This window comes from Homo sapiens, chromosome 17 (genome assembly GCF_000001405.40).
Source record: "Homo sapiens chromosome 17, GRCh38.p14 Primary Assembly".
Taxonomy (NCBI): Eukaryota; Metazoa; Chordata; class Mammalia; order Primates; family Hominidae; genus Homo; species Homo sapiens.
In genome coordinates, this window is record NC_000017.11 from 12,687,849 (window position 1) to 12,711,467 (window position 23,619).

The following is a 23,619-nucleotide window of genomic DNA, read 5'->3' on the forward strand; positions in this document are numbered from 1 at the left end:
AATCACATTTGAATAATACGATGGTGTTAAGGAAGCAGTGTATCCATGGCAACGTAGGAGAAGAAATGGGTAAGGATGATGCTTTTAGCAAGGATGATTTATTTGGTTGGATGAAACAGAAGATTAACACACAGATTCCAGTAACTTCTCTCTGATTCTTTGGATAATAAAACTTCATGGGCCCATGTTGTATACTGGATGAAAAATGGACAAGAACTAACAATTGCCAAAGAGTTGAGATGCACTAAGATACCTAGTGTTATTGGTTTAGGACAACAGTGTTGCTGAAAGCATTGGAAAGTCTCCTACACCCAGTGGAGGAAAAGGCAGCTGTTCTCCACCTTGATTGTCAACAGCAGACTTCTGGGTTTCAGCTGATCCCCCAGTTTTGTCAGTACAACCTGAACTGAAGCATGGATGGGCAATAACCCTGCTTATTAGAGCAGAACAGATCGCTTATAGGAATGATCCTGGGCCACTATTTGTGGCTTCCAAATTATCTAAACAGTTGAGCAGATAGCCAGATTCATTGTGAAATTCTTACAGCAAATCGTTTATGTAAAAAAATGTTTAGTTTTTTCCTTCCTTTCCTTCCTTCCATCTCCTTCCTTCCTTCCTTCCATCTTCTTCCTTCCTTCCTTCCATCTCCTTTTTTCCTTCCATCTCCTCCCTTCCATCTTCTTCCTTCCTTCCTTCCATCTTCTTCCTTCCTTCCTTCCTTCCATCTCCGTCCCTCCTTCCTTCCATCTCCTTCCTTCCTTCCCTCTCCTTCCTTCTTTCCGTCTTCTTCCTTCCATCTTCTTCCTTCCATCCCCTTCATTCATTCCTTTCTTCCTTCCTTCCTTCCTCCCTTCCTTCCTTTTTTTCTTCCATCTCCTTCCTCTCTCTCCTTCCTTCCTTGCTTCCTTCCTTCCTTCTTTCTTTCTTCAGGATCCTTTCCTTCTTGGGCCCTGGGTGGCAGCCCATGATGTGGGCAAAAGTATTGCCTTACAAATCAGAGTTCTGCTAGGACACTTGGCCTATTTCTTGTTTCCCTCCTGGAGCAAGACCTAGTGTACCCCCGGTTTAACACATCTTTCATTTTCACATCACATTAACTAATGTGAATTAATTAGTTGTCAGTGGAATAGATATTCACACCCATGTGCACACACACAAACACGTTGTTCTTAAAATTAAAAAATAAACTTTGTTTTCCTATTCCCGTTATCTTTTCTATTTCTTCTTCTTTCTACCCTTTCCCTTATCCTTGCTTTCTCTTCTTTTGTCTGCTCCCTTCTTCCCTAAAATCCTCAGTACATTTAGAATTGACTCACACTCCGATTTAATCAGATGAAACTTTTCCTACCTGCTGCATATAAACATTTACAGGAATATATAGCACTGCTATCATAATCTCATATATTGCTTCTGTTGCTGGTGTAGGTATAATTTTTGGTCTCTTGAAATCTTGTAACTTCTTGGAAAGAATCCTGAAGCCTTGATTTGGGGACTTAGACTCCCACACCCTATAAAGTATATATTTTGTCAGATATAAACCTAGTCTGACACCAAACAAAACAAAATATTTAGGTCAGGATGTAAAGAAAAAGTAGAGACAGATTTGATGTTATGTAAGCATATATTATATGACAAACAATATATCTAAAATCCATTTGATATAGAAATGAATGATATTAGAACAACTAATTAACAATTTGAGGCCAGGCACAGTGGGTCACACCTGTAATCCCAGCACTTTGGGAGGCCAAGGCAGGCGGATCACTTGAGGTCAGAAGGTCAAGACCAGCCTGGCCAACATGGTGAAACCCCGTCTCTACTAAAATACAAAAATTAGCTGGGCATGATGGCAGGCAACTGTAATCCCAGCTACTCAGGAGGCTGAGGCAGGAGAATCGCTTGAACCTGGGAGGCAAAGGTTGCAGTGGGCCGAGATCACACCACTGCACTCCAGCCTGGGTGACAGAGCGAGACTCAGTCTCAAAAAGTTTTTTTGAAAAAAATAATTAGAGCCTTTTGTAACACTATACACTAAAATTAATTCCAGATGCACTGAAAAGTTAAATGCAAATGTAAAAACCAAAACATAAATATATAAGGACATTTCAGTGATACATAATCTGGAGATGGAGAAGGTCTAAGTATACATCAAAGATAGAAATCATAAAAGAATATTCTAAGGGATTGCATATAGAGATGTTAAATGCCAAAAATCATCACAAGATTGAAAGGCAAACTAAAAAAACCAATGGAAATTCACAACATAGATGACTGACTATGTTTAATGTACTTCAAATATAAATAGATCTCCTAAGTCTATAAGGAAAAAAAAATCCCAGTGGAAAATCTGTCAAAGAATGTTATCAGACAGTTTGCAAAAGAAAAGATACTAATAGTAAAAAAATCTAAGAAAACATGTTTGACTCATTAAAAAATATAATGAGATACCATTGTTACTTATCAAATTAGCAAAGCTTTTTTCTTCTTCTTCAGTAGCATCATCCATTGTTAATAAGGTCGTAGTGAAGTTAAGACACTCCCATAGTCCTGGTAAGAGTACAAAATGGCTCATCTTTAATGAAGGAAAGAAAATTAAGTTTACAGGAAAAAGGGATTAAATAGATATTGAAGCATAATGAAATATTATGTGGCCATAGAGAATGAGAGTTCATATATACAAACCCACATAAAAAGTAAGAACATATTGAAAAAAATGGAAAAGCAAGGCACAAAATAGTATAAAAAATGGTCTCATTTTTGCATGTAGCATATTTGCTTATTTCGATTTCTCAAACATACTTCTTTTCTCAGAATTTCCTGGAATGTTTGTGAAAATGTATTCCCAGTCTACCTCGGACATACTAGACTATAGTCTCCAGGAAGGGGACGAGGGAAATTTGTGTTTATCAAGCCCCCCTAGGTGGTTTTTATATCAGGTAAATTGGGGAAATCCTGATCAAATCTAATGTAAACTCTTTCTTCAATTAATATTGAGACTGAGATCCAGCAAGGCTCTGGGAGCTGTCAAAAGCAATAGCTATTTAGTAGCAGAATGGGAACTAGAATTACGTGTGTATAATTCCAGATGAGCAATCCCTTTTTAAAGCCCCAAGCATATTCACTAATATTCTTAAATTTAACTCCCAACAACTTCCTAATCCCTTTGTAGACAGGTGGCAGAAGTTCTTAGCTCTATTGTTGCACATTCGGTAATGACCTTTCTTTGTTGATAGCGAATGGAAAGTTTTCCATTTTCACCGTTCCCTAGCAATGTCACATTTTCAAACAGTAGCTCAAAACTCTTTAAATAGAAAAGATCCATTTCTACTCTATCGTGACTCAGTAACAGCCACAGGATTCTTCTCAAACTTTCCTAAAAATGTCATCTTTGGGCTGGACTCAAGAGGAACATTTCAGCCAAGGAGACACATTTTCCACTCTGTGAAGAATGAGCGAGCATGGGGTTGGAACATAAAGTGTTTTGCAATCCTCAGAAAAGCAATACTTGTCATCAAAACCATGGCAACGTCTCCATGTGATGCCATCAGAGTCTGGGATCATTCAGGAGCCTCATTCTAATTGGAGACTTGGTCGGGGCCATCACCTGTGTTGGTCGGAACAGTCACCCAGCTGCCTGTTGGCTTCAGAAAGAAAACGGTACCCTACCTGACTGTTGCCATGGAGACACTATGGACAGTGATTCTGAGCTGAGCATCCCTTATGTTGAGTTACTAGGGGGCAGGTAGCATGAAACGTGCCTCATGTTCTAATGGCTTCTGATTCTTCATTTAAAAAGACATGCCCTTCACCCTCGCACCAAATGGAAGAAATACATTAAAACACAAGGTATAATATGACTAAAGTTACTGTTTTCTCATCCAAATATTAATAGTTCCATTTGGAACTTACACTCATGAGATAAAAGTTTAGAGTCCAAAATCATGGTTGGAAATTTGCCTGCCTAAGTTTATAACTCTATGGCCTTGGATGAGCTTTTATATCTTAGGAGCTATGACCAGGGGATAATAATACACACTCCTCAAGGACTATTGGGAGATTTCAATAGATGATTTATGTAAAACACTTCAGTCCCCAAGACTGGCACTTTTCAATTCTGTTAATAATCAGCCCCTTTCAACTTTCTTACTAGGAATTATCAGCATGAGAGAGAGAGGGAAAAGGAATAAAAGAAAGGAATAGGAAAGAACTGACCTGTAGTGAATTAATGACTCAGCTTCTTCTATTCACCTCATTTTGTGCCTTTTCCATCTCACTCGATGTGATGTGTTACTCCTGTGCCTTCAGTTTTCCCTTCATGTAAATGGCATAACCTCTTCTAAGGGACCATCACTCCTGGGCACAGCCAATGTTTCAGGCAGTAATGACTTTTTAAAAGGTATATGCTTGCATTCGCATCGCAACCTAAAGCTCCCTTTTCTTCTTTAGATTCTGCCATCCAGAAAATAGGTGGGCTTTCTTGTGAAGCAGCCATTATCGATACAATGCATAAAGGTCTTTGATAACCTTGTAGAGTTTAGAAAGTGGTAAGCTCATTAATGCCGTCCCAATAATCCTGAAGTTGTTAACTATTATTTGTTGTTAATATTGAGATTACAGCTATATACAGATGCTATCTATACAGAAGGCTGGGGCTCTTGGACATTGAGGATTATGACGCTTGGCAGACTCAAAGTTAAATCTATGTTTTCCGTTCCCAATGTCCTTGCCCCATCCTGTTGCTTCTCTTTGACATCAAGAAAGGCCTGCCCACCAGCAGCGGGCATGTGGCAGAGGTGACTGTCTAAGTAATAAGCAAAATGTCACAATGTCCTTCAATCCTGATATTTCCCTCCTCTTCAACCTGAAACTCTAAGGAGACCTATACAGCCGCACCTGGTTCTCCCTCTTCTGAGTGCCTCTGCTTTCTCTCCCAGGCACAGGTGAGTGAACTCTGCCAAGCTTCCTAACCCTCAATTTCCAAGAGCCCTGGCCCACCTATCTGTACATAGCAATAACCTTAATATTAACAACAAATAATAGTTAACAACTTCACAGGATTATTGGGAAGGCATTAGTGAGTTTATCACTTTCTAAACTCTGCACTCTCTGGTCGCAGCTCCCGTGTTGTGCAGAGATAGTATAGCTCCCATTCTTGAGTTGGAACCTAGTTCCAGCCCCGAGCTACAAGCGTGGAATCTAGTCCTGGTTCTCCACTATACTTGACCCACAAGTTTCTATGCATTTTTAAATAATTATTAAACAGTGGGCTGCTTCTCTGACTCAATAGGCTTCACACCTATTCTATGATTATAGAATATTAAGGGAACATATTTTCCCTTCTTTAGGAAGGTACATGCGTAGGGTGGTGGTAGAACTTGCTACTTGTTCCTGAAGTTCATTTTGGAGAAAAATCCAGGGTGGAGCTGTCGTGGGACATTTATGTTTTTTTAAAACAAACAAACAAACAAAAAAAACCATAGACCAGTCACGGTGTCTCACGCCTGTAATCCCAGCACTTTGGGAGGCCGAGGTGGGCGGATCACCCGAGGTCAGGAGTTCAAGACCAGCCTGGCCAACATTGTGAAACCCTGTCTCTACTAAAAATACAAAAATGAGCTGGACATGATGGTGTGTGTCTGTAATCCCAGCTACTCAGGAGGCTGAGGCAGGAGATTCGCTTGAACCTGGGAGGCAGCGGTGGCAGTGAGCCAAGATTGTGCCATTGCATTCCAGCCTGGGAGTCGCAGAGAGACTCTGTCTCAAAAAAAATAAAATAGAATAAAATAAAATAAAATAAAATAAAATAAAATAAAATAAAATAAAATAAAATAAAATAAGGTGCTCCCTACCAGACATGAAAATATATATCATTAGTCTAGAATAAAATAAATGGTGTAGCACTGGAACAAGAATATTCAAATGAGGAAATCAGAATCCAAAGCCCAGACCTCTGAGTAAAGAGACAACTTAAACACAAACATATGACTCCCAATTCTGATGACAATGGCCAAAAGAATGCAAGAATAGAAAAAAATACTGCTTTGATTCTGGAAGCCTAGAAAGACTGACACCCAAATGTCAGAATCATGAGAGAGATTTCTGCTGTTGATAAAAACATTGGGATGATGTAGAAAAGACACCAAGAACTCACTTCCCACGACCTTCCAAAGATAAGAATGAGGTCCCCAAAAAGGTGAATGAAGAGAAAACTCCAGGAATACCTGTCACTTAGAGGTGGGTAGAACTGGGAGTGGAAAGAAGGCATGGGCCAAAAAGTAACCTTCTGCTCAAACAGTACTTTTAGCTATGATGGGTTCATGGAGGTTTGCCAGGAGCTCTGGGACACAAATGGGCGCAGCAAGCTGAAAGCAGGGAAGGGAAGGGAAGCTCTGCTCAGCAAAGCACAAAAAGGCATCCGGGAAGGGGCCAAGCAAAAGCTGCAGGTGGCTGTGCCCAGAGAGCAAGGTAGCTTCACCAAGCATAAGGCCAGTGGGGCAAGGTTTCTGTCTGAAGTGTCAGGACTGTCCTATCTGCAGTGGGAAGCAGCCGCAGAGAGGGATGGGTGCATTTGAGCTCAATCTCTAGTATCAAAGCTCAGCCGAACCTGGAGAAGAAGCCACCCAGGGACGAATTCCACTGCTGAGATCATCCAGGACTTAGCTCTCTGCCCACTCCCTTTAGAGTTAGACCCTGACCCAGCAGCCAGGCCTCCAGCTTCAGAGGAGAGAAAGATTCCAGTAGCTTCCATGTGATAGGAGCAACAAGGCCAAGAGAAATGGGCAACCTGGTCATACTTTGTGGGAAGATCAGAACAACCTTTTAGGAGAGCTATTGTCATACGTACCAAACGCCTTCAAATTTGACATTTCCTGTGATGAAATCATTCTACTTCTAGGAGTGTTTCTTAATGTAATATCAAAGACGTGGCCAAAAATCAACTAGAAAGAATGTCCACTGTGATTTTTAATGTTAAAACTTTAAGAAATCTAAACCTTCAATAATGGCCAATGGTTCAATGACTTAAGGAATAACCAAAAAAAAAAAAAAAAAAAAAAGGAAAGAAATTTAGTAGCTCTACAGCTACTAAAATAGCATCATTTGATGGGTATTAAATGGCATGTGAATGTATCTTTGATATATTACTAATAAAAATCAGCTAATGAAGGAACCCTTATAATGTGATCCCACACAAACATATAGGAAAAAGGACCTAAACTTCATGAATGAAATATTAGCAAGAAGTATCCCTAGTTTAGAGATGATCTTAGTCCATTCAGACTGCCATAACCAAATGCCATAAACTGGGTAACTTATAAGCCACAATAAATTTATTTCTCACCGTTCCAGAGGCTGGAAAGTTAAAGCTACAGGCAGGCTTGGTGTCTGATGAGGGCCCCTTTCCTAGTTCATAGAAGTCCGCCTCTCACTGCCTCCTCCCGTGGTGGAAGGGGCCAGACAGCTCTCTGAAGCCTCCTTTATAAGGGCACCAATCCCAAATATGAGGGCTGTGCCCACATGACCTAGTGACCTCTCAAACTTCTTAATACCATCATCTTGAGGATTAAGATCGCAACATATAGCTTTTGGAGGGACACAAACATTAAGACCAGAGCAGATAAATATGTTTTCTCCTAGAAGCTCTTCTATATTTTGCAATGTTTCTGCATTAAGCTCATATTGTTTTTGCTTCTTACCCCTTTATCCCTTTGTGCTACATTCTAAGAGGACAGTTTAGCTCAATCTTCTAGTTCACAAGTTCATTTTTAGTTGAGTTTATTTTAATGAATGAATTTTTACTTTGCGATTAGTGTTAATAGGAAAGATACTATTTTTTGAATTTTAATTTTTTGAATTGTGGTATAATACACATAAAATGTACCCTATTAACCATTTTAACTGTACAGTTCAGTGGCATTACGTACACTCACACTGTTGTATAATCATCACTAAGATTTTGCAAAGCTGAAACTCTGTTTGCATTAAACTATAACCCCCCATTCTCTCTTCCCCCAGCCCCTGGAACCCCCCTCCTACTTTCTGTCTCTATGAGATGGACTACTCTAGGTACCTTATATAAGTGGATTCATATAGTGTTTCTACTTTTGTAATTGGCTTATCTCACTCAGCATCATGTCTTCAAGTTTCATCCATGTCGTAGCATGTCAGAATTTCCTTCCTTTTAAGGCTGAATAATATTCCTTTGTTGTTGTTGTTGTTGTTGTTGTTTTAGACAGAGTCTCGCCCTGTTACCAGCCTGGAGTGCAGTGGTGCAATCTCGGCTCACTGCAACCTCCACCTCCTATTTTTTTTTAGTAGAGACGGGGTTTCACCATGTTGACGAGGATGGTCTTAATCTCTTGACCTCGTGGTCCGCCCGCCTCGACCTCCCAAAGTGCTGGGATTACAAGTGTGAGCCACTGTGCCCGGCCCCATTTTATAAATATATCACATTGTGTTTATCCTTTGTCCATCGATGGACACTGGTGTCACTTCCCCCTTTTGGCTATTAAGAATAATGCTGCTATGAGGGTAGATGTACAAGTATCTCTTCATGTCCCTGCCTTCAATTCTTTTGAGTATATACCCACAGGTGAAATTGATGGATCATACAGTAATACTGTGTTTACTATTTTGAGGAGCTGCCCTACTCTTTTCCACAGTAGTTGCCCATTTTACATTCCCATCAACAGTGCACAAGGGTGTTAATCTCTCCATATCCATGCCACCACTTGTTTTCTGTTTTATGGACGGTAGCCATCCTGGTGGCTGTGAGGTGGTTAATGTATTATTTTTCTGTTGATGAATTATCTTGCCTGTTTCTGAGAAAGGCCTGTTCCCTTTGTTCATACTGTTGCCTTAAGGGTATGTTCTTTCCTTTGGTTAGGTTTAGAGTTTTCTTTCATACTGCTGATACTCCTCCCAGATTAGGCGATTCTTGATTGTACGCTAACATCGTGCCCTTGCAGATATCTGTTAGACAGTGCACAGGTGAGCAAGCTTACAGAGAAAACACATGTCACTGATACTTGTGTTTTGGTGAATTCGAGGATTGTAAGGGAGGAATAGGATGAGCCAGGAGCTAGTTTCAGAGGATGAAGAAATCATGACGCTCTTGGATATTGTCAGCAATCTATAAGGCCCATCGCTGTGTCTCCAAACAGGCTGGATTTGCTGCTACCACTCGAAGACCTGCAGACAGACATTCCCATGCCCCATAACCAATGCCTAGTCCAATGTAGGGACAGATACAGGATGTCACAGGGGTAGACCTCCTGTCTCAGTACCCCAGCTAACAATCCTGTTTGATTGAGCCTTGGGTCCCCTCCTGCTCCTTGGCATGGAGGGCTCTTGGCACAGCTTTCAATTCCTCACTTGCAGATCTTAGAACTTAGTTTTTCAATCCAATCCCATATGTTTTGTGTGTTTCATAAATTACTTAGGGTTCCAATTCGCTGAGGAATCTCATTCTTCTTTTCTGGTATAGGAGTATATATATATATATATATATATATTTTTTTTTTTTTTTTTTTTTGAGACGGGGTCTCGCTCTGTCGCCCAGGCTGGAGTGCAGTGGCGCAATCTTGGCTCACTGCAAGCTCCGCCTCCTGGGTTCATGCCATTCTCCTGCCTCAGCCTCCTGAGTAGCTGAGACTACAGGCGCCCACCACTACACCTGGCTAATTTTTTGTATCTTTAGTAGAGATGGGGTTTCTTCACGTTAGCCAGGATGATCTCGATCTCCTGACCTCGTCTCGGCCTCCCAAAGTGCTGGGAATTACAGGCTTGAGCCACTGCCACCGGCCTAGGTATACATTTTTAAAACTACCATTTCTGTTATTTATAGGAATCAGGTGTTTGCTCAGTTTGCCATCTTGAAACAGAAAACATTTAGTATTTTTGCTGCTAAAAAAAAATAGGAAGTATAAATTAATACGAATTAGAACTTAGCACCTAGAAACAGATTGTGGCTTATATTAGAACTTAAGTAAATGAAGAAGTTGGCATTATAAATCAGTAAGCAAAGGAAATTTTTTAATAAGTGGCAGTTATATATAGTTTCCCAACTATTTGGGATAAATTAGAGTTAGAGCCTAGCCTCAAACCATATACCAAATTCCGTATGCAGGGATATCATAATCAAAGGCAAACAATGTGAATGCATAGGTTAGGCTCAGGAGGGGCAGGCTGAACTGGAAAAGAGAGTTTGTGTGGGGAATAATGTGCATATAGGAAAAGACCTCAAAGGCTAGCATAAGGAGCCACCGCAAGATGCTATACGAAGTAATCTTATAAAAAGGGAGTTTACGGAAATTGATCTGCTAATGCTGCGTAACATGTATTGCAAGGAGATAACCCACTAATAAAAATAAGAAAAGAAAGATGTGAGATGGTTTAGTCTAGATCTGAACTGAAGGTTCTTAACTTTTGTAAGTCTCAGAGACTTCCGAAAATCTGATAAAAGTCATAAGCCAGTCCATAGAAATACTCATTTACACACATGCAAGCAACATTTTTGCATACAGCATCAGTGATTTAACAGGGCCCTTGAAGACCAAGTTCTTGAGGTGAGAGGGAGAGGAATTTATTTTGTATTCAGGGAAAATTGAGTTTATCTCCCCAGCTAGCATGTTACGGTCATGAGAATAGTAACTCTCCTATTCACCACTGTATGCCAACAGCAAGCAATGCTTTCACATAGTAGGCAGTCTAATATGTAATGAATGATTGAACGAATGTAATGAATTAATGCCTTCAATCTTTATAACTGAAAAATCTGCAAACAATTAAACCAAAAAAAGAAGTATGGAAATGAGTGATGTCAAGTAGGCCAGTGATTTCTCCATATAGAAGCAAAGAAATTTTGTCTCCTACCAGACCCTCTTTTTTTTTTTTTTTTTTTTTTTTTTTTTGTGAGACAGAGTCTGGCTCTGTTGCCCAGGCTGGAGTGCAGTGGCGTGATCTCAGCTCACTGCAAGCTCCGCCTCCCCGGTTCACGCCATTCTCCTGCCTCAGCCTCCCGAGTAGTTGGGACTACAGACGCCCGCCACCACGCCCGGCTAATTTTTTGTATTTTTAGTAAAGACGGGGTTTCACCGTGTTAGCCAGGATGGTCTCGATCTCCTGACCTCATGATCTGCCCGCCTCGGCCTCCCAAAGTGCTGGGATTACAGGCGTGAGCCACCGCGCCCGGCCCCAGACCCTCTTTAATGTCATTCTTTCATTATTTGTAATGGAATTTTTCTCTCTGTTTTTGTCTTCTCTCTCCTCTCCTCTGATAATATATATATATTTTTTGAGACAGGGTCTTGCTTGTTGCCCAGGCTGGAGTGCAGTGGCCCAGTCTTGGCTCACTGCAACCTCCGCTTCCCGGGTTCAAGTGATTCTCATGCCTCAGCCTCCCCAGTACCTGGGATCACAGACATGCACCACCATGCCCTGCTAAGTTTTGTATTTTTAGTAGAGATGGGGTTTCACCATTTTGGCCAGGCTGCTCTTGAGCTCTGACCTCAAGTGATCCACCCGCCTTGGCCTCTCAAAGTGCTGGGATTACAGGCATGAGCCACCATGCCCAGCCTTCTTTGATCATATATTTCTCTTCTTTTAGAAATTCTGCTAAAATGTTTTGTGGCCACTTACTTAAAGATGATGCCCGAAATCAGTGTTCCAGCCCTAACCTCTCAGCCTTTCTCCAGCCCTATATCTCAATTGTTTATCAGGCACCTTATTTCATATTTACCAGGACAACAAAAATTCAGGTTGTCTAAAATTATGCTCATCGTTTTTTCAGAGTTCTCTGTCAACTTTATTATAACATAACTCTGATACATGTTTTCAGAACCCTAAATCTTTAAGCTTTAAATTAAAGGAGCTTAAATTTGGAAGCCTTGGCTTTCTTTGGGAATCTAAAGTGTGCTACGGACCCATACCCAAGAAAATAATGCATATACGCAGATATAGTTGCATACATCAAGTAGCTGTATTTCTTGCAACATATCCAAAGATCCCAGACTAACAACCTCTTGAAAGATAGTAATATATATTTCTTTTTTTTTTTTTACCTTTTTTTTTTTTTTTTTTGAGATGGAGTCTTGCTCTTGTCACCCAGGCTGGAGTGCAATGGCACAATCTCGGCTCACTGCAACCTCTGCCTCCCAGTTCAAGCAATTCTCCTGCCTCAGCCTCCCGAGTAGCTGGGACCACAGGCGCCCACCACCAGGCCTGGCTAATTTTTTTGTATTTTTAGTAGAGACGGGGTTTTGTCATGTTGGCCAGGCTGGTCTTGGACTCCTGACCTCGTGATCCACTCACCTTGGCCTCCCAAAATGCTGGGATTACAGGCGTGAGCCACCACAACCAGTCAATAAGCATATATTTCTATCCTCCTTCATGTCCCCAAACTCTTCTAATTCTTTTTGTTCAAAGTGTTTTTAATATTTTCGTCTTTTGTTTCCATTTCCACTGCCTTTGTCCAGCTCAATCTAAGTCAAAATGGCTTAATATCTAGAGAACTGAAAGAGTCTTCTAATTGGCTAACTCTAGCAATGGGAGAATTTTTTTTTTTTTTTTTTTTTTTTTTTTTGAGATGGAGTCTCACTCTGTTGCCCAGACTGCTGGAGTGCAGTGGCGCGATCTCAGCTTACTGCAAGCTCTGCCTCCTGGGTTCACGCCATTCTCCTGCCTCAGCCTCCCGAGTAGCTGGGACTACAGGCACCCCCCACCACACCCAGCTAATTTTTTTGTATTTTTAGTAGAGACGGGGTTTCACCATTTTGGCCAGAATGGTCTCGATCTCCTGACCTCGTGATCCACCCGTCTGGGCCTCCCAAAGTGCTGGGATTACAGGCTTGAGGCAGTGGGAGATTTTTATAAACTTCGTCTTCATTTGATTAAGATCTATGATATTGAAAGATAAAATAATTGAGAATTCTTATTTATAATTGGTATAATGTATAAAATGTGTTATTTAATGGAAAACTTGGAAAACAACTTGTTCCTATCACATCTGGATAGAAATTCACCAGTAAGACTGCCGGGGCCTGAATATTTTTGTATGTGTGTGTATGTGTGTGGGGGGGTTATAATAATCAATCTATGATTTAATAAACATATTGCTATTCAGATTTTCTGTGTTTTTGGTATCAATTTTGGTAAGCTTTAGTTTTCACGAAATGTGTCCACTTTAAGTTGTTTAATTTATTAACACAAATTTGTTAATTATATTTTCTCATTATCTTTAATGTCTAGAATATATGGTTATAACACATTTTTTTAGTCCTGTTATTGATAAATTTTATTCTCTACCTTTATAATCAGTCACTTTGGGAGGCCAAGGCAGGTGGATCACTTGAGGTTAGGAGTTCTAGACCAACCTCACCAACATGGCGAAACCTCGTCTCTACTAAAAATACAAAAATTAGCCTGGCATGGTGGTGCACGCTTGTAATCCCAGCTACTCAGGAGGAAGAGGCAGGGGAATCGCTTGAACCTGGGAGTCGGAGGTTGCAGTGAGCCGAGATCGTGCCACTGCACTCCAGCCTTGGTGACAGAGTGAGACTCCGTCTCAAAATAAATAAAATAAAATAAAATAAAATAAGTCTAGTTAGGAGTTTGACAGTTTTGTTGATCTTTGCAAATAACTAGCTTTTGGCATTGTCAATTTTTTCTACTACTTGTCTGTTTTCTATTATAAAGATTTCTGCTTTAATCTTTATTATTTCTTATTTCTCCTTACTATGAGCATACTTCTTTTTTATCTTCTTACAGTAGAATCTTAGGTCACTGATTTAATGTTTCTCTTTTTCTAATATAAGTATTTAAAACTCTAAGTTTCCCTCTCATCACTGCTTTAGCTGTATCTCATAAGTTGTAATATGGGTTATGGGAAATTATGATATGAAGTAGTTATAATATGTTGTATATTTTTTATTATTCGGTTTAAAATATTTTTAATTACTCTCATGATTTTGTGTTGACTATGAATTATCTAGAAATGTATTGCCAAAGATTTTTGTTAATAGTATATTGCTTTTGAGTTAGAATTAATTCCAATGTGGTCAGAAAACATACTCTATATGAGAGCAATTATTTCAAATTTATTAAAACTTATTCTATGGCCTAGTGTATATTGGTGAATGTACCATGTACACTTGAAAAGAATGTTTATTCTGCAGTTGTTAGGTGTAGTGCTAAACAAATATTAATTATATCAAGATGTTTGATATTATTGCTCAAATCCTCTATGTCATTAGTATTTTTTTAAATGTAGTTATATCTGATGTTGAGAGAGGAGTCTTAAAATCTCCTACTGTCATTTTGAAATTGTCTATTTATTCCTTTAATTCTGTCCATTTTTGTTTCATGTATTTTGAGGTTCTGTTCTTAAATGCATATCCGTTTATAATTGCTATGTCTTCCTGATGAATTCTGCCACTTACAATTATAAAATTTCCATTATTTATCTCTGACAAAATAGACTTGATGTCTATTTTATGTGATATTAATATAGTTATTTCAGCTTTCTTATGCTTGCTGTCTGTATGGTATACCTTTTTTCCATCTACTTACTTTCAACCAATCTGACACTTTATATATAAAGTGTGTCTCTTGCAGACAACATATAATTGAATATGGCCTTTATAAATTCTTTCTGATACACTCTGTTTTATTTGAGCATTTCAACTATTAAAATTTGATGTAATTATTGGCATGGTTGGATTTGGATCTACCATTATATTACTTGTTTTTTGTTTGTCCCTATACTTTTTGTTCCTATATTCCCCCTCTCTTGCCTTCTTTGGATTACTTGATATTTTTAGCATTGTTTCAATTTATTGGGTTTTTTTTAGTTACACCCTTTGTGTTTTTATTATTGGTTACAATATAATCATTAACTGTGACAGTCTACCTATAGTTAGTATTATACCACTACATGTGAAGTATAGAAATTTGGCAGTCATAAGAAGTCCTTTATGTTATCACTGTAATCTGTATTACATCTATGTGCTTTAAGAGCATCGCAAGACAATGTTATAATTTTTCCTTATAAAGTTGTATATGTTTAAGAAGAAATATAAATATCTTTAATATTTATTAATAGAGTTGCCATTTCTGACATTCTTTATTCATTCCTGAATATCTGTGTTATCTTCTGGTATCATTTCCCTTGAGCCTGAAGAATTTACTTAAGCATTTCTTGTAAGAAATTATATTATTTTTTCTTTACCTGAAAATATCTTTATTTCACCTTCATTCCTAGAGGTCATTTTCTATTCTGAGTTGGTAGATTGGGGGGCGGGGTGTTTATCTGTTTCTCTTTTTGTTTTTTATTTTCTAGCTTTCATTGTTTCTGAAGAGAATTCTGTGGCTATGTAAATCAACATTTTTCTTTATATAATATGTTGTGTCTCCCCCACCTGTTTTTAAGATTTTTCTCTCTATCTTTAGCTTCAGCCATTGGATTATTATGTATCTAAGTGTGGTTTTCTGTGAATATATTTGGTGTAGGGTTTACTGAGCCTTTTGAATCTGTACATTTTTTTTCACCAACTTCAGGAAGTTTTTGTGATTTTGAAACTGTCTATTTATTCCTTTAATTCTGTCCATTTTTGCTTCATGTATTTTGAGGTTCTGTTCTTAAATGCATATCCATTTATAATTGCTATTCCCTCTTATAATTACGAAATTTCCATTCTTTATCTCTGACAATACTCTGTGACTTGATATCTATTTTATGTGACATTAATCTGCTCCACTTCAATTAAATTAAAACTTGCTCTATGACTCTGCTCTGCTTCTGGGACTCTTAATTCCCTAACGTTAGACTTTTAGATATTGTCACACGAATCCCTGAGGCTAATGTTAGACTTTTAGATATTGTCACACTAGTTCCTGAGGCTCTGCTCATTTTTTTTTCATCTTTTTTCTCTCTCTTCTTCAGTTTGATCTGTCTTCAAGTTTACTGACTCATTCCTTTGATATTCTTCTATTAAGTCCATTCAATAATTTTTTATTCCAAATATTGTATTGTTAAGTTTTAATGTTTCTACTTGGTTTCTTTTTATGTGTTCTATTTTGCTGCTGAGATTTCCTATTTTTTGTCCATTTCTTTTACTTCATTGAACCTAGTTGGAAATAACTATTTTAAAGTATTTGTCTGATAATTTCAACATCTGACCCATCTCGAGGTTTGCATCTGTTCATTGTCTTTTCCATTTAGAATTGGTCACATTTTCCTAGTTTTTTGTGTTAGAGTATTTTAGATTGTATTCTGGACATTGTGAGCCTTATCTAGTCTCCAAGTTCTGTTGCAGTCCTCTGGAAAACACGGTTTTTATTTTAGCAGATGATTAATCCAAGTGGATTCAAGCTTTAAGCTCTCTCTTGTCAGTGTATACAGAGAAAATGGAATATCCATGAGGAGGAGTCTGAATTTCCAAAGATAGAATGTGTTTGGAGGAGAGGGGGCAATGGGAAGGAGAACATTGTAAATACTGCCCTCAGAAGTTAATAATTCAATATTATTTAATTTTTACTATTACATGTATATGATATGTATAATCTATTTGTGTTATAGATACGTAATATTGGGAACATACTTATATTTATTTATAATGTATAATTTTGAGAATTTTACAGTGTTTTAATTTTTCTAAGAAAAGCACAACTCCAATAGTCCTTCTTTGAATTCCCAGGAGAATTCCAGATTCTCATAATACTACCACTTATCAAAATGTCATTACATGTGCCAGACATTCTGCTAAGCAATGTGCATACATTGTTTTATCAAACTTTATGGCAACACCACCAGGTAGGCATTGTTTTTATTTACAAACGAGGAAACTGAGGGTCAGAGAGGTTAAGCAACTTGCTTAGGGATACACAGCTATTAAGGGGGTAGAGATGAGATGTGAACCTAGGTGGGACTCTGTCTCCCCTTTTGATATCACTGGTTGCCAACCAAGTGGAATTAGATGATATTTATCTTGCAAATGACAGAGTGTAGAGAGAGAGAGCATGGCACTGCGAAAATAACAATCACTTCAAAGAGGAGACAAGTATTCTAATTCTAGTTTGGGACAGACTTACTGCAAAACCTTGTAACCTTCTCAGCTTCTCTCCTTCTTCTTCCACTGTGTCTACAACAGAAATTAAAATGTACTTCAAATAATTTACAGAACTCTTTTAGAAATAAAATGAGACGATCTATGAATGTGTAATGAAAATATAATGATTGTAATGATATTTAGCCCAACTCACAAACTAACACTCCCTTTTCTAAGTTTTACAGTTAAGACTTCAACAAAGAAGGACCCAGGAACAACTGGCTAACCAAGGCATAATACCACGTGAGTACCTGCATCTCTTAATTACTGATATACATAGGGCCACACCATTTGGGAGCTGGAAAGTGCCTCAGAGGTCATTTAGTTTAAGCCAATGCATTGGTCTCCGAAGATCTTCAAAGCATTGGTATCAGCAGAAATCCCAGACCTTGGATGCTTTGCCCCGACTGCTACCTACTCACCTGCAAGGGGCTCCTTTTAATGATACTGGTTATGCCTAAAATTCCAATGTAGTGGATTTGTTCTCAGGGTAAACACAATTCATTATGGGCACCCCTGACTCATCTACTTTTAAAATTGGATATAATTAATATTCTTTCCAGAAGCATCAATTACATCATCTTTTTCTCACTTCCTGAATTTCAGTTCTGTTTGGGATATTGGAGTCCACAAGTCATTGAATATTGGTCAAGTATTTCCTTTCTAGAAGGTGGAGTGGCAATACCATTTTAGCATAAATGATATAATGTTGAATTACTGGCCACGAACTGGGTAAAAGAAGAAGGATTATTGTATCTTTTAGAAGATATATTTTAAATTTTCTACCAATTCAGCAATGAAAGCTAACTCTTGGTTATCTGTAGAAATAGAGAAAAGGGTACCCTGGATGAATAAGTCATGGGTAAAGCTGCTCTAGGTCATAGATTCTAACTTCCTCTCCAACAAAATTTAAAAATCAAGATCTATAATGACTTGTGCAGAAATTCAGGTGTCTGTAAAATGCTGTTGTGACTGTTACTTCAGAGTTCAGTATACAACAAGCAGAAGTTTGCCCTTGAAAAACTGTAGTGTAGTTAGTTGTATTGAAGCCCTATGTATAGCCCTATATAGTGTAGTTAGTTACATTAGTTAGAAAAAATGTTGTGTAGTTAGTTATATTGAAGCGCTATGACCCATGGCTAAACATTGAAAGTTTAGTCTTTGTTTCAGAGCCAGAACAGAACTAAGAATTTTTCAGGCCTCTTGTTTTGTAATTCAAAAGTAATCCTTTGTTCATGGCTAAGCTCTAGAATAGTAAACAGTATGTGACCTTAAAGTGGGACAACTCTGTTAGAGGTTTGTGAAGTACAAAAGAAACAGCTCACCCTGTGATTTCAAGGCTGTTTAAACAACGTTGACAACTATGCTGAGGAAGCAAAGGAGCAAGTCTATGTGTGGCCTGTTTCATCTTAGCCTTTCTTTGGAGGTGCTAAAGACAGGAAGAAACCAAAGGTCTGCGGATGTCAGATCAGGTCAAGACAATTTCACTCAAAGCTGATAATCTATCCCTTCACCGATGTTTCTTTCTCTTTAATTCTGGAAAGGCAAGTGGAGCAAATGGACCTGCAACCTTTCCGTAAGCCCAAGTTGTACACATCTGATTTAAAGTTGGACTCATGTGCTTAAATACTCTGAGCCTGGGTCTTGCAGCTGGCATTTGGCTGAGAATAAATATTTTTGGAGGGATACGGGGTTAAATCTGAAAATTAGTAAAAACACCCAATGAAGATGGTAATTAACCCTAGCATACATTGTAAAATAACACCTATCATGTAAGTTATATAAATCAAATGTTCATTTGTATAGTAGAGTCCAATGAAATATAATATTTTGTTCCCCAGGAATTCCAGAATCAAATAATATGCATATTAACAAAATACCACTTATTAGAAATTTTGCATCATTAGTCCATGGCATCATTAAGATAATTTCTAGAAAAAAATCCTACAAATCATGAAATAATAAAGCATTTTAAAATCACACACTATGATGAAGGTTTTCCCCAATCTGCAGCTACCTCCTTTCAACCAGGCTTTCCAAGAGTGTAGAGTCTGCTGTGGAAAAGTGTCCAAGTCACGGCTGGTGCACACTGCAGGCCCTGCCTGTACAGACCTTTTCTACTTAGCTCTTCTCAGGAAGCTAGAGATAGGATGCATCTCTTCACCTGCTGATGGTTAGCCTCTTCAGTCCAATCAGAGATTAAACATGCAATCTACATGCATTTCAGCAGAGCAGTGTGTTTCCTCTGGCACCTAAGGAAACATGTCTAAATGCAAACAATTGGGAGAAGGAAAGAGGAACCAAGGGCCTCAGGATATTTTCAATTCAATATAATTCAACAAATTTTATTATAAACCAGGCTATGTACACGGGACCATGCCAGGCACTTTAGGGACAACAATAATAAGCAAGATGGTCCCTCAGAGAGAGTCAAGATATTAGGGGGAAAGCTGATAAAAAGCACACAGAAGCAGGCTGGGCACGGTGACTCAAGCCTGTAATCCCAGCACTTTGGGAGGCAGAGGTGGGCAGATCATGAGGTCAGGAGATCGAGACCATTGTGGCTAACACGGAGAAAACCCGTCTCTACTAAAAATACAAAAAAAAGAAAAAATTAGCCAGGTGTGGTGGCAGGCACCTGTAGTCCCAGCTACTCGGGAGGCTGAGGCAGGAGAATGGCGTGAACCCAGGAGGCAGAGCTTGCAGTGAGCAGAGATCGCGCCACTGCACTCCAGCCTGGGCAACAGAGCGAGACTCCGTCTCAAAATAAATAAATAAATAAGTAAATAAAAATTAAAAAAGCACACAGAAGCATAATCCAGTGTGCAACTCATTACCTTACACAAGAAGACTTTATTTTTTCATTCTATTATTTAAATTTTTTGAAACAGAAAGTAAAAGAAAAGGAGAAAGGAAAAGAGGAAGAAAAGTTAATCATCCTCAGAGCCTACCTAATTCTGTGATTTTCTAATTTTTTAATTGTTACGTCTTATGCACTATATATATGTGTGTGTGTGTGTATACATATATACATATATATGCACTGGCTGAGGCAGTGTCAAGGATCTATGCCCCAATTACTGGGCCTCTCCTTGTCCCTTCCAGAAGCCCCCTGATAATTCTCTCTGCAGTGCTGGTTCTCTTCAGAATAGAGTTTGAAAACCCCTGACCTACCCCAGTCCCTGTTTGTCTTTAATGTTCATGAAACTGAGGTTAAAGAGGCCTAAGAGGTTTTTCAGATGTCCCAAAGCCTACATCTAATATGGTCCCATTTTCTGCAGTTTGATTGATGAGAATGTAAATGCATGCCAGATAAAATTATTCATAAAATCTTGCTTTATTCATAAGATTTGAAATAGTTGCAATCTTTCTAAACATGTCATAAATTGTCAAAACTCAAAGTTGATGGCCAAGTGAACTGTTAATTGTCCTTATCAAATAGAAATACTTTTTTTTTTTTTGAGACAGAGTCTCACTGTGTCGCCCAGGCTGGAGTGCAGTAGCGTGATCTCGGCTCACTGCAACCTCCGTCTCCCAGGTTCACGCCATTCTCCTGCCTCAGCCTCCGAGTAGCTGGGACTACAGGCACGTGCCACCATGCCTGGCTAATTTTTTGTATTTTTAGTAGAGACAGGTTTCACCATGTTGGCCAGGATGGTCTCGAACTCCTGACTTCGTGATCCACCCACCTCGGGTTCCCAAAGTGCTGGGATTACAGGCGTGAGCCACCGCGCCTGGCCAGCAATACTATTTTTAACTGGTCGACAGAAGCACCTGCCACCAATTAGTCTTGAGTTTTACATTAGGTTAAATCTTCAGGGCTTATCCCCTGGATAACATGCAACCCCTTCCTATTGTGGAGGAGCTGAGGCCAGAACCTGTGTCTCCTGATCCCCGCCTAGGCTCCTTTTTTCAAACGTTCAAAATGAATCGCTTGGCCTTTAAAACCACTTATATTGCTATCATAAGGCATTTTATGGCCAAAAAATTCAGTTAGAACTTAGAAAATTTCAAAAGTGTGTCGTGCGAAAATGCCAAAGATAAAACAATGATTTAAATGCAATGGCTTCAGATTCTACATCATAATCTATGTTTCGCCATGATGAGCATTGAATGAAAGGTTTCACTGACTTAGCTGTATGGCAGGTCTCCCTTCAATTGCATTCCAAATTGATAATTAAATTATGAGGCTCCTCCCCCATTGACTCTAATGAGGTGAATCATGTGTAATTCTAGTGAAACTAATCCAAATGGATTGAAATTTTCTTCCTTCCCTTTTCCTGGGCATGCATTCTGCAGGGTTTGAGGTTGCTGCTGAGTAATAAACAGTGGTTAGCAACCAGCAACAAATTGTTTTTTATAATCCCCATGAATCACTTCTCTTAAACATTCACTTTGTTCTTATGTGTGGGCATTATGAGTTTAGGCTAATTTCCCTCTTTACATGCTTTGAATGAATTTAAAGGCACCATCTCTTGACTTTTAGTCAAGACAGGCAGGGTTCTGAGGCCAGCACAGAATCACTGGAACAACTTAAGGGTTCTCAGACCAGGTGCATTTACAATGGCAGTTGTGAAATTCACATTTTCAAACTCGGCATGAAACCTTAATAAAATAGTCTCTCAAAGTTAACTTAGAAATATTACTTAAAGGACTTATTGTTTAGATTTATCTCCAAAATCTCACCTCTAAATCTCAATATGGAGATTTCAAATTGCCTACTTTGCCATCATCAACCAGGATTCATAGGAAATGGTTTCACTATCCCACCCTTTTGGGCTCAAGGTTGCAAGAGAACATCAAGGTTCTCTACATTCTCGTGGCATTAGGACAGAGAGTCCACCTCCTTCCCTAGACCTATTGGGCCTGTTCATCATTTCTTATGCAAATTTTCTCTCCTGCAATTCTTCTCCCTGGGTATCACTCTCCTGGGTAAAATTTTAAATAACACCATTTTATTCCAACCGCTTCTGAAGACTTAGTGTGGAAAGATGACCAGCCATGTAAATCAGACTCAATAAACTGGTCATAGAGCATTTCAGTAAATCTTTATTAATCCTCTGCTGTGAGAAAGGCTCTGGGGAACACACACAGAGAAGTCAGACTCAACTTCTGTTTCAAAGCGCTTCCAGTCTAGGAGGGGCCCCAAACCACCCCCATTTAATCATCCCATTTAATGATTTTGGACAACCTCACACCACTACATGGGAATGGCTATCCAGGAAGATTGAAGGAAAGATGACTTTTTCCTCTCCGTCTCCCTCTGCTACTAAAGTGAATCTATGATGTTTAACCCAGGGGAGAGATGAAAGAAGGTTTAATTTATTCTCCTGGAATACAGAAGATGAGATTAGAGATCTAAAGTGGACTTGAGAGGACACGGGGCCCGGGGAGGCTGCTACGTGTCCACAGAGTCTCAGAGAAAGCCCCTGCTGGCCAGAATGAAATGTCTGGGCAGCTTGGTTTCATGATCTGATCAATGTAAATGAATTTAAAGATACAATGAGCTGTCTATGAATGGTGCTGCCTTTATTTTTTTTGCAGACTAATCCAAGCTACAGCAGCCACATACTTACTGCAAAACCTTGGTAAATCCCTGAATTTTGTGGTACTTCTGAATAGCAAGAAGAATGACCGGGGCAATTCCCGCACCCATATCACATGCAGCTTCACGATAGTTTTGAGAAGTTGACTGGACAAAGTCTCTCTTCCTTTTCTCAGTGCATTCATTTGACTTGGCTTTTCCCCCACAGCACCCTACCACACACTGTCGGCTGTCTGAGCAGTACACGGCGCAAGGGAATTAATCTGTCTGCCTCTTCCCTTCTTTCTAACATCTCAAATTCAGAGATAGAAAAAGGTGCCCTGGATTTTCATGTCAATCCCATTTGGGTCAAAAATCTGACCTTCCTTCTTTTCCCCCATCTCTCCTTCAATTTTCCATTTCCCTGTTCCTTAGAAACTAGAAAACTAGTCATTACAGGCACACTTTGAATTTGTCTTTGTACCCTCCTTCTGAGAAATTCCAAAGTGTTCACAGATGTTGCAATCAAATTCTCCAAGTATGCTAGCCAGGTCTTGAACATTAGAAAGCTACATTGGGAAAATGCACTGTTTTCAGACTGTTGAGACTATTATTGGGGTAACAGACCCTTAAGACTATCATTGGAGTACTGAACTAGCAATTTATTTCCAAGCATAAAAGAAAATATAATCTCCAAAGCATTATCATTATATATATAAAAAAAATTCTCATGACCCAATTTGTCTTTAAAACCAAGACAGAGAGAAGACAAACATGAATAGGCCCATTTTTATAAGTGGGAAACTGAGAGCACAGGAAAACTCTCAGGCTTACTCAAGGTTATACCAAAAGTAGATGGCAGAGCAAGAACAGAGCTCAAATGGATGGTTCCCAAATATTTAGTTACCCAGGACTTCTTTAATTCTACCCATCACTGCCATAGGTCTTATGTTTAAAATAGTATTGTCTTCCCTGTCCACCTAAAGAATCCTA

General features: G+C 39.0%; 1 protein-coding gene and 1 long non-coding RNA gene across 6 annotated transcripts in view, besides 4 other annotated features; one reads left to right on the forward strand and one right to left on the reverse strand.

Annotated features, from left to right (window-relative positions):
• Window positions 1-18,287, reverse strand: part of MYOCD-AS1 (MYOCD antisense RNA 1) — a 34,274-nt gene extending 15,987 nt beyond the window's left edge. The window contains exons 1-2 of the long non-coding RNA NR_104605.1: window positions 17,525-18,287; window positions 17,086-17,135 (exon numbers count right to left, since the gene is read on the reverse strand). This is a non-coding gene — a long non-coding RNA (MYOCD antisense RNA 1). The remainder of the gene's footprint in view (window positions 1-17,085; window positions 17,136-17,524) is intronic.
• The window catches only part of MYOCD (myocardin), a 103,060-nt gene that overhangs the window by 21,959 nt on the left and 57,482 nt on the right, over window positions 1-23,619 (forward strand). For 4 of the 5 annotated variants that reach the window (NM_001146312.3, XM_005256863.1, NM_153604.4 and 1 more), the window contains exon 2: window positions 17,280-17,345. In NM_001146312.3, the coding sequence (NP_001139784.1) occupies window positions 17,280-17,345 (66 nt within the window). Of the gene's footprint in view, window positions 1-17,279; window positions 17,346-22,646; window positions 22,691-23,619 lie in introns of all 5 variants that reach the window. The other variant, NM_001378306.1, reaches the window with a different exon arrangement.
• Window positions 293-793: an enhancer, noted in NCBI's record as "H3K27ac hESC enhancer chr17:12591458-12591958 (GRCh37/hg19 assembly coordinates)". NCBI's record gives its function as "activates a minimal SCP1, AML or CMV promoter by ChIP-STARR-seq in naive H9 embryonic stem cells {active_cell/tissue: H9 hESC(naive)}" and the evidence as "EXISTENCE:reporter gene assay evidence [ECO:0000049][PMID:30033119]".
• Window positions 794-1,294: an enhancer, noted in NCBI's record as "H3K27ac hESC enhancer chr17:12591959-12592459 (GRCh37/hg19 assembly coordinates)". NCBI's record gives its function as "activates a minimal SCP1, AML or CMV promoter by ChIP-STARR-seq in naive H9 embryonic stem cells {active_cell/tissue: H9 hESC(naive)}" and the evidence as "EXISTENCE:reporter gene assay evidence [ECO:0000049][PMID:30033119]".
• Window positions 977-1,146: an enhancer, noted in NCBI's record as "experimental_46969 CRE fragment used in MPRA reporter constructs". NCBI's record gives its function as "activates a minimal promoter by MPRAs in K562 erythroleukemia cells, with activity observed for both the introgressed and non-introgressed 17:12592227 variant alleles {active_cell/tissue: K562}" and the evidence as "EXISTENCE:reporter gene assay evidence [ECO:0000049][PMID:34662402]".
• Window positions 3,609-3,778: an enhancer, noted in NCBI's record as "experimental_46971 CRE fragment used in MPRA reporter constructs". NCBI's record gives its function as "activates a minimal promoter by MPRAs in K562 erythroleukemia cells, with activity observed for both the introgressed and non-introgressed 17:12594859 variant alleles {active_cell/tissue: K562}" and the evidence as "EXISTENCE:reporter gene assay evidence [ECO:0000049][PMID:34662402]".